The sequence below is a fragment of the Homo sapiens genome, chromosome 19, assembly GCF_000001405.40.
Source record: "Homo sapiens chromosome 19, GRCh38.p14 Primary Assembly".
Taxonomy (NCBI): domain Eukaryota; kingdom Metazoa; phylum Chordata; class Mammalia; order Primates; family Hominidae; genus Homo; species Homo sapiens.
In genome coordinates this window covers 11341502-11355026 of record NC_000019.10, presented here as the reverse complement: position 1 = coordinate 11355026, position 13525 = coordinate 11341502, and the positions used below count along the sequence as shown (strand labels likewise).

General features: G+C 54.0%; 2 protein-coding genes across 24 annotated transcripts, besides 2 other annotated features; one reads left to right on the top strand and one right to left on the bottom strand.

Annotated features, from left to right (window-relative positions):
- Window positions 1-82: 82 nt before the first annotated feature.
- Window positions 83-8508, bottom strand: CCDC159 (coiled-coil domain containing 159). Of its 15 annotated transcripts, none has more exons than XM_047438148.1 (13): window positions 8393-8508; window positions 8067-8196; window positions 6159-6277; window positions 5944-6061; window positions 5340-5373; window positions 5001-5089; window positions 4828-4909; window positions 4024-4219; window positions 3054-3121; window positions 2894-2970; window positions 1455-1576; window positions 1153-1235; window positions 83-447 (listed from the first exon to the last, which is right to left on the bottom strand). In XM_047438148.1, exons 4-13 carry the CDS (start codon window positions 5989-5991, stop codon window positions 275-277), a joined length of 972 nt encoding a protein of 323 aa, XP_047294104.1. In that variant the 5' UTR covers window positions 5992-6061; window positions 6159-6277; window positions 8067-8196; window positions 8393-8508; the 3' UTR covers window positions 83-274. The 15 variants fall into 15 exon arrangements, with proteins under 15 accessions (XP_047294104.1, XP_047294103.1, XP_047294102.1 ...); XM_047438147.1 differs by having other exon boundaries at window positions 8400-8508; XM_047438146.1 differs by lacking the exons at window positions 6159-6277; window positions 8067-8196 and having other exon boundaries at window positions 83-154; window positions 331-447.
- Window positions 4057-4557: an enhancer, noted in NCBI's record as "H3K4me1 hESC enhancer chr19:11461146-11461646 (GRCh37/hg19 assembly coordinates)". NCBI's record gives its function as "activates a minimal SCP1, AML or CMV promoter by ChIP-STARR-seq in naive H9 embryonic stem cells {active_cell/tissue: H9 hESC(naive)}" and the evidence as "EXISTENCE:reporter gene assay evidence [ECO:0000049][PMID:30033119]".
- Window positions 8408-9238: an enhancer, noted in NCBI's record as "H3K27ac-H3K4me1 hESC enhancer chr19:11456465-11457295 (GRCh37/hg19 assembly coordinates)". NCBI's record gives its function as "activates a minimal SCP1, AML or CMV promoter by ChIP-STARR-seq in naive H9 embryonic stem cells {active_cell/tissue: H9 hESC(naive)}" and the evidence as "EXISTENCE:reporter gene assay evidence [ECO:0000049][PMID:30033119]".
- Window positions 8535-12249, top strand: TMEM205 (transmembrane protein 205). Of its 9 annotated transcripts, none has more exons than XM_024451501.2 (4): window positions 8535-8693; window positions 9399-9507; window positions 9612-9775; window positions 11907-12249. In XM_024451501.2, exons 2-4 carry the CDS (start codon window positions 9408-9410, stop codon window positions 12210-12212), a joined length of 570 nt encoding a protein of 189 aa, XP_024307269.1. In that variant the 5' UTR covers window positions 8535-8693; window positions 9399-9407; the 3' UTR covers window positions 12213-12249. The 9 variants fall into 9 exon arrangements, with proteins under 9 accessions (XP_024307269.1, XP_024307268.1, NP_001308042.1 ...); XM_024451500.2 differs by having other exon boundaries at window positions 9290-9507; NM_001321113.2 differs by lacking the exon at window positions 8535-8693 and adding an exon at window positions 8759-8819.
- The last annotated feature ends 1276 nt before the right edge of the window (window positions 12250-13525 follow it).

Here is a 13525-nt window from a genome sequence, read left to right as displayed (position 1 = left end):
CCTCCCCCCCAACAATGAGGGGTAAACTAGGAGGGCAGGGGGATTCCTAGGCACAGGAAGCAGCAAGACTAACAGTCGGGGCTAGAGGAGGGTCTGGGCTAGTTTATTTTCTCTCTGGAGGGGTCTTCAGGGAGAGCAGTCCCGGCTGCTCAAGCTGTGGAGAGAGAGGGTGGGTCAGGGCCTGGCCAGGTCCAGGGGACTCCGGGGCTGCAGGTCAGGGACCGCATGCCCAGATCAGGATCTGGGCCTGTTCTGAGGGTCTAGACTGTGGGAGTCAAGGGCAGGTCAGGAGGGAAATGGGTGGAGGGGGGGACTGGGGAGGATCTGCACCGGGTGGGAAGGAGCGGCCGCTCTTGCTGAAAGGTGGCTGGGAGAGGTCCTGGTCACAGTCGGAGTCAGAGTCCCAGGAGGGGAGTGGAGGGCTCAGGCACTGGTGCCCCTTGTGGCCTGCAGGAGGGACAGGTTCCCTGAATGTGACCCTCAAGTAACCCCCAAATATAGGCCCTGTGTCCCTTCATAGTATACCTCATTGATACTTAAACCATGACCCCCAATTCCCTTGAATGTGATCCAGTGTGACACCAAATTATGACTTCAATGACCCTTGCATTTTACCCAATTGACACTTTTTTTTTTAGAGATGGGGTCTCGCTCTGTTGCCCAGACTGGAGTGCAGTGGCACGATTATGGCTCACTGCAGCCTCAACCTCGCAGGCTCAAGCGATCCTCCTGTCTCAGCCTCCTGAGTAGCTGAGACTACAGGTGTGCTCAGCCACAGGTGCACCATCACCCAGCTAGTTTTTAAATTTTTTGGAGAGATGGGGTCTCACTGTGTTGCCCAGGCTGGTCTCAAACTCCTAGACTCAAGTAATCCTCCCACCTCAGCCTCCCAAAATATTAGGATTACAGGCATGAGCCACTGTGTGGAGTCCCCATGGACTCATATAAGATCCAAGTGACTCTGAATGTGACCATGAATGACTCCTGGATGAAACCTCCAGTGACTCCTTAATGTGACCCCAGAACACTACTTAATGTGACCATAGAATAACACCCATCAGATGTGACTCCCAAATAGGCTCTCTGAACATAGCCTCCCTGTGAAGCTAGACAATGACCTCCCACCCCTGAGCAATTCTCAGCCTCCCTCACCTCTTAGGCTCGAGGCCTTGGGACAGGCCCCCGAGCACAAAGTGAGGCTGTCTATGGAGTTCTGCAGCACGTGCACAGCAGACCTGCAAGAAGACAAGGAGCTGGGGGCGCTGGGAGACTCCACACTGCTCAGGGTGTAGACAGCAGTACAGCTAAGGTTGGGGGCCGTGGTGGGGTGAGTCCTAGGGGGTGAGGGAAGTCTGGACTCAGGTGGGCTCCAGGTTCTGGTGGTCACTGCCAGATCCCGTTGGGGGAACGGGTTCAGAGGAGGGTCAGGGGTCAGACTGCAGGCTGGGCATCACCATATATCACTCAGTTCCTTCTGGAGGTCATCCTTCCAGCAGCCACTGGCTCCCTGCGGTATCTCTTCAGTCTCCGGACAGGCGGCTGTCTCATGACCCTGCTGCTTCATCTTGGTCAGGATCTGGGGTGGGGAGGGATGAGAGAACAGCAGTCATAATAATAATGACAATAGTGCCAGGCGCGGTGGCTCACACCTGTAATCCCAGCACTTTGGGAGGCCGAGGCGGGCAGATCACGAGGTCAGGAGATTGAGACCATCCTGGCTAACACAGTGAAACCGCATCTCTACTAAAAATACAAAAAGTTAGCCGGGCGTGGTGGCGGGCGCCTGTTGTCCCAGCTACTCGAGAGGCTGAGGCAGGAGAATTGCTTGAACCCAGGAGGCAGAGGTTGCAGTGAGTTGAGATCGCGCCATTGCACTCCAGCCTGGGCAACAAGAGGGAAACTCCGTCTCAAAAAAGAAAACAAAATAAATAATAATAATGATAATAGTAAAAGGTGACTGTTATATAGCACTTGTTATATGCCAGACTGCATTCAAGTGCACAGTACTCAGCTAATACAGACACCTGATCAGGTAGGGAGGAGTGTTTTTTTTTGTTTTGTTTTTTGTTTTTGTTTTTGGTGTTTGTTTCTTTTTTGAGACAGGGTCTCAGTCTGTCGCCCAGGCTAGAGTGCAATGGTACTATCAGGGCTCAACGCACCCTGAACCTCCAAGGCTCAAGTGATCCCCCTACCTCAGCCTTCTGAGTAGCTAAGTCTACAGGCATGTGCCACCACACCCTCTTGTTTTTTTTGTTTTTTGTAGAGACAGGGTTTTGCCATGTTGCCTAGGCTGGTCTTGAACTTCTGGCCTCAAGCAATCCAACCACCTCAGCCTCCCAAAGTGCTGAGATAACAGGCATGCCACAGCACCCAACAGGATGAGTTTTCTTTTTCTTTTTCTTTTTTCTTTTTTTTTTTTAAGATGGGAGTTTTGCTCTTGTCGCCCAGGGTGGAGTGCAATGGCACGATTTCGGCTCGCTGTAACCTCTGCCTCCTAGGTTCAAGCCATTCTCCATCCTCAGTCTCCTGAGTAGCTGGGATTACAGGTGCCTGCCACCACACCCAGCTAATTTTTGTATTTTTAGTATAGACGGGGTTTCATCATGTTGGCCAGGCTGGTCTCGAACTTCTGATCCACCCACCTCAGCCTCCCAAAGTGCTGGGATTACAGGCGTGAGCCACCGCGCCCAGCCAAGATGAGTTATTATTACATCCATTATACAGATGAGGAAACTGAGGCTCAGAGAGGTCAAGTGACTTGCCCACAGTCACACAGCAGTGAGTGGCAGAGCTGAGATTTGAACCCAGGCTCCAATCTCATGGTGGAGGCTGGCCAAAATCCCCATCCCTCCCTCTCCCACTCCTCCCCAGGGTCCCCATCTCCTCCACTCACTTTGCGGCATTTCACCTGCGTTTTCTGCATTTTCTGAATGTTCACCAAGTTCTCTGAGATCTCATCCTCCTGCGCTTCTGTGGAGGGAGGGGGCTCAGGCGGACAAAGGCTGAAGAAGGACCCCCTCCCCACACACCGGCTGTGGGCTCCAGGAACTCACGGAGCTTCTGATAGATGAAGGTCACCTCCTCCCGCACCAGTTCCAGCTCCTCCCACAGGAACTTCTTGCTGAGGGGACAGTGCAGCCTAGACCTGCACTCCCTGCCTGGCCCCTGACCTCCCATGCCCCTATCTGTGCCTCCACCCATCCCCGCAAGCTCTGTCCCCTCCCCACACTTCCCTGCCCTTTTCCCCTCCCCTTCTACAATCCCCCTACCCTCATCCCCCTCCTCTCCTTCTGATCCCCAGCCTCCCATTCTCTCAGTCTCTCCCACCCCACTCAGCCTCCTATCACCTGGCCTCCACCTCCCCACCTCCTGTCCCCCGACTTTCTATACCCCCAGTCTCCTGTCCTCTCAGTCTTCCCTGCCATCCCCCTTTCTGATCCCCTGGCCTCCTTTTCCATCCCACCTCCAGCTTTCTGTCTTCCCTGCCTTCTGGCCTCTCAGTTTCCCACTCCCCCGCCCCCACCAGCCACCTGTCTCCCCTGAGCCTCTCATCCCCTCCTCATTTTTTTTTTTTTAGACAGAGTCTCGCTCTGCCGCCCAGGCGCCCAGGCGCCCAGGCTGGAGTGCAGTGGTGCGATCTCAGCTCACTGCAACCTCTGCCTCCTGGGTTCCAGTGATTCTCCTGCTTCAGCTTCCCTAGTAGCTGGGATTACAGGCACCCGCCGCCATGCCTGACTAATTCTTGTATTTTTAGTAGAGATGGGGTTTCACCATGTTGGCCAGGCTGGTCTCGAACTCCTGACCTCAGGTGATCCGCCCATCTCGGCTTCCCAAAGTGCTGGGATTACAGGCATGAGCCACCACACCCGGCCTCATTCCCTCTTCTTGTCCCTCAGGCTTTCCACCATCCCTCAGTCCCCCTCCCCCAGGCATCTGCCATTTCCCCCATCCTGCCTCCATTCCCCAGTTCTGGGTCTCCCTTCCCTCCTGTGGACTCCAAGCTGCCCTCCCGCCATCCCCGACCTGTCCCGGATCTCCTGGGCCAGCAGCTGCAGGCAGCGAGTGGTGCGGGCCCGCTGCATCTCCTCACTGTCACGCAGGGTCTTCTCCAGCCCCTGAAGGCCTTGGGTCAGGGCCCCATACAGCTCCTGCCGGCCCTGCTCCATGCCCCACTTGTGCTCCTCCTTCTCTCCCTGGCGGCCTGTGGGGCTCAGCACCTCTGCAGAGAGTGTGGGACCTTGACTGAGCCCTGATCCCACCCTGAACCCAGCTTGTCCTAATCTTGACCCAGAACCCAGACTCTCCCAATTTCCCTCACCCTGGCCTGGCCCAGCTGATCCCAACAGGACCAGCTTCCAGCCTGACTTTTTTTCTTTTGAGATGAAGTCTTGCTTTGTTGCCCAGGCTGGAGTGCAGTGGCGTGATCTCGGCTCACTGCAACCTCTGCCTCCCAGAAAGCAATTCTCCTTTCTCAGCCTCCTGAGTGGCTGGGACTACAGGTGCATACCACCACGCCTGGCTAATTTTTGTATTGTTAGTAGAGATGGGGTTTCACCATATTGGCCAGGCTGGTCTCGAACTCCTGACCTCAGGTGATCCACCTGCCTCAGCCTCCCAAAGTGCTGGGATTACAGCCATGAGTGACAGCACCTGGCTTTTTTTTTTTTTTTTTTTAAGTAGATATGGGGTTTCACCATGTTGTCCAGGCTGGTCTCAAACTCCTGACCTCAAGTGATCCAACCTCTTTGGCCTCCCCAAATGCTGGGATTACAGGCGTGAGCCACCACGCCTGGCCTAGCCTGACCTTGATCTCTGGTCAGTCCTCACCTTCAAGCTGCTGAATCTTGATTTGCTGCAAGCAGCTCTCCTTCTCCAACATGGTCACTGAGTGGTTCAGGAACTCGAAAGCCTGGGGGAAAGAGGTCAGCCTTGGGGTGGGAGGAAGGAGGGGAGGGCAAGGAGAAACAGAGGTTGCTGGGGGCAGGGCCAAGGTGGTTCACCTTGGTCTGGGCCTGTAACTGGCTCTTGAGTGACTCAAGTTCACATCGCAGGAGCTTCTGGGAGTCGGGAATCATCACAATGGTCTTGGCTGTGGGCAGAGAAGAGGGTGAGCCAGGGCTGTAAGGGGTGGGGTCTGGGGCAAGGGCAGGGCAGAGGTCAGCAAAGGCTCAGAGTAGCAGTAGGGACAGGGGATAAGATATAGAACAGGGGCCCACTCAGCCTTGGGCAGGAGTGAATGGGTGACCATGGCAGGGGGACAGCTGATGCTGGGGCAGAGGGTAGAGGTAGAAACCAGCAGGTCTTCCCCACACAGTTTTGTTGGAAAGGAGATTTCTCACCTTTGACTTTGGAAGAGCTGGTCTCCAAGGGCTTCTAAGGAAGAGAGATGAGATGGGAGTAGAAATTTGTCCCTGAGCTGCCTCCTTGCTCACCTCAACCCAGTTTTGAGGGCTGGACAAGAGTTGGATCTCCTCAGTTCTAGGTGTCCCAAACCGTAAGTGCAGGCAAAGCTGCACTCCAGGCATATTCATGCACCTCCCCCTTGGGCTACATATGCTCAGAAGTGCACTTATGTGGCTGAGAGACGATCACAGCCAAATCCCCATGGAAGACACACAACCACACTCTTTCCTTCCATTCATTCCTTCATCCATTCATTTAAGACTTGCTTAGCCAGGGCCTGCTGAGTGCCAGGTGCTGTTCTAGGTGCTGAAGAAACACAGTGGGTGCATTCATGGGAGTCTCTCTGCCTTACAGCCCCTTCCCTAAGCCCCACAGCAGTAGATTGCAGTGGTTTTCTGCATTGAAGGGGTTTCCCGGGTGGGGGTGACCTTAGCTACGTTGTGATGCCTCTTCAAAATGTCCTGGTCATTACAGCACTGCTTCTGCAGGTCTGGACTGGGGGAGGGGGCAGCCTCATGTGGCGAAGGCCCTGAGCCCCACCCTGGCCTGCAGTCTGCAGTCCTCACTGTGTCCCCAGAAGCAGGGCATCCCAAGGTCTCTGGCTCTGGAGTCCTGGACCAGTGAGCTGTACGCTCCAGAGCCTTGTCCGAGGAAGAGCCTAGGGGTGAGGGCTTCCTTGAGGGACAGTGCAGGGCACTCCTCACATTCCCAGCCCCTCCCAGTGTCCCCAGCCCTATGGGAGCCCCCTAACTAACCCCAGTACTTGTCACACTTCATGTTAGCAGGCAAACACATGCTGGAGGGTGAGGGAGGTGAGTAGAGGCAGGACACAGAGTAGTCAGGGTCCCGGGGTAGGCCGGCCAAAAGAGGGTCGCTGTGAGTAGGGAAGCAGGGGCTGCTTTGAGATAAGTCCCCATGTCCCCAGTGCCCCCAGACCCTCCCTGACATGCCAGAGAGGCCTCAGCCCTAAACTCAAGGCTTCTCAGTTATGGTAGGAGCCAAAGCTGGATAAAAGATGATCCCAAGGCCAGACGCGGCCAGCAATGGTGGCTCACGCCTGTAATCCTAGCACTTTGGGAGGCCAAGGCGGGAGGATCACTTGAGGTCAGGAGTTCGAGACCAGCGTGGCCAATATGGTGAAACCCCGTCTCTACTAAAAATACAAAAACTAGCTGGGCATGGTGGTGGGCGCCTGTAATCCCAGCTACTCGGGAGGCTGAGGCAGGAGAATCACTTGAACCCGGGAGGCGGAGGTGGCAGTGAGCCGAGATTGCACCACTGCACTCCAGCCTCAGCAACAGAGTGAGACTCAGTCTCCAAAAATAAAAAACAACAACAAAAAAGATTATCCCAGCCCCAAGGTTTGGGCTGGGCAGTGAGAAGGACCCAGAAGGCCCCAAAGAAAAAAAATCAGGCCTCAGAAGAGTCCAAAGAAAAAAGGGACCTTGACATTGGCTTAAAGGAAGGCCTTTCCTGGCAGGGAGCAGCATGTGCAAAAGCTTGGAGGTGTGGAATCACATGCTCTATGCTGGTAAATTCATGATGGCTGAATCGAGGTCCGAGAGGAAGCAGCAGGAGGTTAGCAGAGCAGCTCCAGTAAGGCATTGACGGCCAAGCCAGGAGTTTCGACCTGGCCCCACAGGTGAATGCCAGCCATAGAGTGTGAGCAGGAGAGGCAGGGCATATCTGTTCAATAAATGTTAGCTGAATTGGGGCCCAGACCCGTGCTAGAAGAGGCTGGAAACAGGAAACAGCTGAGCTCTGGGTCTCACATTCAACTCCCCTCCCCCTCCAGTATAGCCACATATGGCACAGATGGAGATATCTGGGGCAGGTCTGCCTGGAGAAACTTCTAGGTGAAAGGCACCTTGCCCTGAGTCACACTCAGCCTCTTCCCCCAAATCCTCTAGACCTTTCTCTCTGTCACCCTTGCCAGGCCCTCTGCCTGATTCAGTCGACCTGGAAGACTCCTACACGCTCTTCAGAACTACTCAGGCTGGGCACGGTGGCTAACACCTGTAATCCTAGCACTTTGGGAGGCCAAGGCAGGTGGATCACCTGAGGTCAGGAGTTCGAGACCAGCCTGGCCAACATGGAGAAACCCCATCTCTACTAAAAATACAAAATTAGCCAGGCGTGGTGGCGCATGCCTGTAATCTCAGCTACTTGGAAGGGTGAGGCAGGAGAGTCGCTTGAACCTCAGAGGCGGAGGTTGCAGTGAGCCGATATCATGCCACTGTGCTCCAGCCCGGGCAACGAGAGCGAAACTCCGTCTCAAACACAAACAGACAAACAAAAACTATTCAGCATATCTTCAGTAAAATCTTCCTTAATCCTTTTTTAGGCTCCTATTTTCTGAGCACCTAATTGAGTGCCGGGCATCCCCTAAGCATTCACTGGATCTTCACACCCACCCTGTGATGTACACGTTTTTCTTCTGCCTGAAATGTCCTAAGCTGCCCCTCCGAGAGTCACTGCCTCAGGGAGGTCCTCACTTCCAGGGACAGCAGAGTATGACGGTTAAGCAGGGAAACTCTCCAGCTAGATGGCCTGGGTTCAAATCCTAGCTCTGTCCCTTCCAGCTGTGTAATACTGGTCGCGTTACTGAACCTCTCCATGCCTCAGTGTCCCCAACTATAAAAACGAGATGTCATAATAGTCACCTTACTGGGATGTTGTGATTAGATAAATTAATCCATGCCAGTGCCTGGTATAGAGTAATGGGGAGCTGTGTTTGCTCTGGAATGTCACGCTGAGAACCCGGGACTTAGGGACCATAGGAAGCCTGGGAGGCTTGGAGGGGAAAAGGAGAGGCATTTGAGAACCAGCTTAGGTCCCCAGTAGTGCCTCCTCTCTCCCCGTCCCATCCCGGTTGCTGCTTCCGTGTCCCTCCCGGGAGAATTATTTAGGGAGGGGGCGGGGTCATCATCCTGGCTCCGCCCCCTGGGTTGTGAAATCTACACCCGCCAGGCTCCAGAACCCCACCTACCACATACCACCTGTTCATGCTCTCCCATCAGGGACCACGAAGCCAGTCCTCAGCTGTGACGCTGAAGTTTGATCCCGCGGGGACACCATCGTATTAAAACGCTCAGAGACTGAGTCACAGAGAGGGGTGTGGCCGGCATTTTAGTTCCGCCCCTGCCGGAGTAGCCGAAGGCCTCATTGGCGCCTTCACGCTTCAGCTGCGCTTAGTAGCCGCGGCGTAATTGGATAAAAGCCCGTGGAGGGGGCGGGATCCCAGGGGGGTTTCTACGATTAGTCAATACCCAGGAGGGCGGGATAGAAAGGTGCAGATCTACGACCCGATTGGCTTCGGGCTCAGCTGGGAGGCGGGACGAATTATTGGTTGGGGGAAACCCACGAGGGGACGCGGCCGAGGAGGGTCGCTGTCCACCCGGGGGCGTGGGAGTGAGGTACCAGATTCAGCCCATTTGGCCCCGACGCCTCTGTTCTCGGAATCCGGGTGCTGCGGATTGAGGTCCCGGTTCCTAACGGTGGGATCGGTGTCCTCGGGATGAGATTTGGCGTTTCCTCGGGGCTTTGGTGGGATCGGTGTCCTCAGGATGAGATTTAGGGTTTCCTCGGGGCTTTCGGGATCTTCACCTAATATCCGGTATTATTTTATGAGAGGAGTGGTCTTGGCTGTCAGAACTGGATCCCTGGGGTGATATTTGGGAATTAGTGGAGTGATCTCTGAAGACCTAGGGCTATGATCTGGAGCTGCTGTGGCTGAAATTTGGGGCCTCTGAAGTGGCATGGAGATTGAGGTCCAGAGAGCCTGAGATCTTGAGGGCTGACATTTGGAGAGATGGGGTCGAGGGTTGTCTTTGGGCCTTGACTGCTTTGGGCCTTTCTCACTCTCATTCCCGGGATGCTTTGCCAGAATCTCTGCTGGATTGGCCGTAACCCTGTCCCCGAGCGGGCTCACAGGGTCTGAAGGCCACGCATGAGGCAAAGGTAAAGTTCTGAGCCACCCGGTGCCTCCTTCCCAGGACTGCAAGATGGAGGAAGGCGGGAACCTAGGAGGCCTGATTAAGATGGTCCATCTACTGGTCTTGTCAGGTGCCTGGGGCATGCAAATGTGGGTGACCTTCGTCTCAGGTAGGGACCCTCAGCTTGGATGTCATGGGTACCTGGGGTGGGGATGGAAATAAGAGGGGAACCGGGAAGTGCCCTAACACCCCTGTGGTCCCCATACCCTGCAGGCTTCCTGCTTTTCCGAAGCCTTCCCCGACATACCTTCGGACTAGTGCAGAGCAAACTCTTCCCCTTCTACTTCCACATCTCCATGGGCTGTGCCTTCATCAACCTCTGCATCTTGGCTTCACAGCATGCTTGGGCTCAGCTCACATTCTGGGAGGCCAGCCAGGTACGTGGGTTTGAGTGCCACTGCCCTCTGGAGACTTGTTCCCAGGACCTCAGTCAGCGCCTATGGCTACACCTTTTCCAGGGGGGGAAAAAAAAAGGCTAGGCATGGTGGCTCACGCCTGTAATCCCAACACTTTGGGAGGCCGAGGTGGGCGGATCACGAGGTCAGGAGTTCAAGACCAGCCTGACCAACATGGTGAAACCCCGTCTCTACTAAAAATACAAAAAAATTAGCCAGGCGTGGTGGTGTGCACCTGTAATTCCAGCTACTCAGGAGGCTGAGGCAGGAGAATTGCTTGAACCGAGGAGGCAGAGGTTGCAGTGAGCCGAGATCATGCCATTGCACTCCAGCCAGGGCGACAAAGCAAGACTCCATCTCAAAAAAAAAAAAAAAAAGGAAAGGAAAGGAGAGGAGAGGAAAGGAGAGGGGAGGGAAGAGGAAGGGAGGGGAGGGGAGCCCCTTCTTCCTGGTAGATACAAAGCTGGGCTCTGGATACCCTTGAGCAGTGCACAGCCTGTACAACAGTCCCCAGCAGCCCTGTCTATCCCCCAGCATCTCCCTGCTAGCTGCTGTTCCCTCTCCTCCCGCTGGCTGGGCCTGCTGCCAAGCTGTGGTGACTCAGCTGAGCTGGCACATTGACCCCAGCTTATTGTTTAAAAACCAGCCCGACTGGGAATTTATGGTTTCCTATCCCCTTCCACACATTTTTCTGGCCACAAGGCAAGAAACTATCTCTGCATCTCAGATTTCTCTATTTACTCTGGCCTTCCCTTGCCTGCATTATGTTTCATAGACGTGGGTAAGTGAGACCTGACAGGTGTTTCAAGAATAATCTCACAGACAGGAGGGGATTATGGGTAACTAGAACTTCACAGACTGTTTTTTTTTCCTTTTATTTATTTATTTTAATGAAACAGGCTCAGAAGGTATTCAAATACTTAAAACAGATAGAGATGGTGTTATAGCAATGTGAGAATGGCAAAAACATTTTTCCTAATTAAAAAAAATAGGCTGGGCGCAGTGGCTCATGCCTGTAATCCCAGCACTTTGGGAGGCTGAGGTGGGTGGATCACGAGGTCAGGAGCGCGAGACCATCCTGGCTAACATGGTGAAACCCCGTCTCTACTAAAAATACAAAAATTAGCTGGGTGTGGTGGTGTGCGCCTGTAATCCCAGCTATTTGGGAGGCTGAGGCAGGAGAATTGCTTGAACCCAGGAGGCGGAGATTGCAGTGGGCCAAGGTCACGCCATTGCACTCCAGCCTGGGCAACAAGAGTGAAACTCAGTCTCAAAAAAAAAAAAAAAAAAAAAGATGAGGGTCTTTGCTGTGTTGTTCAGGCTGGTCTTGAACTCCTGGCTTCAAGTGATGCTCCCACCCCCATCTCTGAAAGCACCGGGATTACAGATTACAGGCATGAGCCACCATGCCTGCCTTCAAAGACTTTTTGTTTTGTTTTGTTTGTTTTTGAGACAGGGTCTTGCTCTGTCGCCCAGGCTGCAGTGCAGTGGTGCAATCTTGGCTCACTGCAACCTCTCCTTCCCGGGTTCAAGCAATCCTCATGCCTCAGCCTCCTGAGTAGCTGGGATTACAGGGGGACAGCCCCCACACCTGGCTAATTTTTGTATTTTTAGTAGAGACGGGGTTTTGCCCATGTTGCCCAGGCTGTCCTTGAACTCCTGGCCTCAAGTGATCCACTCACCTCAGCCTCCCAAAGTGCTGGGACTATAGGCATGAGCCACTGCGCCCAGCCACTCAAAGACTTTTTATTCACCCTCTGTGGGTCCAATGTCAGCTTCAGGCGTCTGGGCTGTGGCCACTGAGGAAAGAGATCCTGCTCTGGGGACTTCCAGTCTGAGTATCAGAGGAGAAGAGGCTCGGGAGGTTTTGCGGGGGGATAGAGGAGGTGGGGATGGAGCCTTTCCTTCAGAGCTGCCAGTTTCAGAGTAGAAGAGCTGGAGTTCTGCTTTGGGTCCCTCAGTCTGGGTTCAAGGAAAGAGGGGGAGGCAGGTTTTTTGATCCAGTGCTGTCCCCACCCCCACCCCTGTGCTGTTGAGGATGCAGAAAGACCCTCCCTAGGGCCCCTCTGGCCTCCCAGGCATGGCTCACCTTCTCCTCTGCTCTCCCTGCCAGCTTTACCTGCTGTTCCTGAGCCTTACGCTGGCCACTGTCAACGCCCGCTGGCTGGAACCCCGCACCACAGCTGCCATGTGGGCCCTGCAAACCGTGGAGAAGGAGCGAGGCCTGGGTGGGGAGGTACCAGGCAGCCACCAGGGTCCCGATCCCTACCGCCAGCTGCGAGAGAAGGACCCCAAGTACAGTGCTCTCCGCCAGAATTTCTTCCGCTACCATGGGCTGTCCTCTCTTTGCAATCTGGGCTGCGTCCTGAGCAATGGGCTCTGTCTCGCTGGCCTTGCCCTGGAAATAAGGAGCCTCTAGCATGGGCCCTGCATGCTAATAAATGCTTCTTCAGAAATGGCTGCTGTCTTTTTTTTTTCCCCCATGAGAAGCAGGGGGAGGGGCAGGCAAGGGTAGAGCCAAGAGCCTCAGTTTCCCCATTCATGAAGCATGATGGTTTGGAGTGTCAGCCATTTTATCCTGTAAGCCTCTCCTATAATGATGCCCATTTATTGAGCACCTGCTGTATACCAGACATGTTGTTAACCACTGACATATCATGTATTATTTGTTTTGTTTTGTTTTGTTTTGTTCTGTTTTGAGACGGAGTTTCACTCTTGTTGTCCAGGCTGGAGTGCAGTGGTGCGATCTCAGCTCCCTACAACCTCTGCCTCTGGGTTCAAGCGATTCTCCTGCCTCAGCCTCCTGAGTAGATGGGATTACAGGCATCCGCCACCATGCCTGGCTAATTTTTTGTATTTTTACTAGAGACAGGGTTTCTCCATGTTGGTCAGGCTGGTCTTGAACTCCCGACCTCAGGTGATCCACCCGCCTTGGCCTCTCAAAGTGCTAGGATTACAGGCATGAGCCACCATGCCTGGCTGTTTTGTCTTTTTTTTTTTTTTTTTTTTTGAGACAGAGTCTTGCTCTGTTGCCCAGGCTGGAGTGCAATGGCATGACCTTGGCTCACTGCAATCTCCGCCTCCCGGGTTCAAGCGATTATTCTGCCTCAGCTTCCTGAGTAGCTGGGATTACAGACACCTGCCACCACGCCCATCTAATTTTTGTTATTTTTAGTAGAGACGGAGTTTCACTGTGCTGGCCAGGCTGGCCTTGAATTCCCGACCTGAGGCCATCTGCTCGCTTCGGCCTCCCAAAGTGCTGGGATTACAGGCGTGAGCCACCACGCCCAGCCTGTTTTGTCTTGTTTTTGACAGGGTCTTGCTCTGTCACCCAAGCTGGAGTGAAGTGGCGTGATGATAGCTCATTGCAGCCTCCAACTCCTGGACTCAAGCAATCCTCCCACCTCAGCCTCCAAAGTAGCTCGGACTACGGGCGCCAGCCACCAGGCCCAGATGGTTCTGATCCTAGAGGACAATCATATTTCCCACCCTACTGACATTGGGGGTGGCCATGTGACTTGCTTTGGCCAATGAAATGTGAGCAGAGGTGGCATGTGTCCCTTCCAAGGAGAAGTATTACAAAACAGTACATAATTTGCTGCATTTTCACTTCACAAAACAACCATCATGGGAACCAAACCTTAGCTGTTGGGGCCGTGAAGTCTTTGGGAGTGCTTGTTACTAAGCATAACCCAGCCCTTCCTAACTAATGCACTTCATCCTCATTCATCC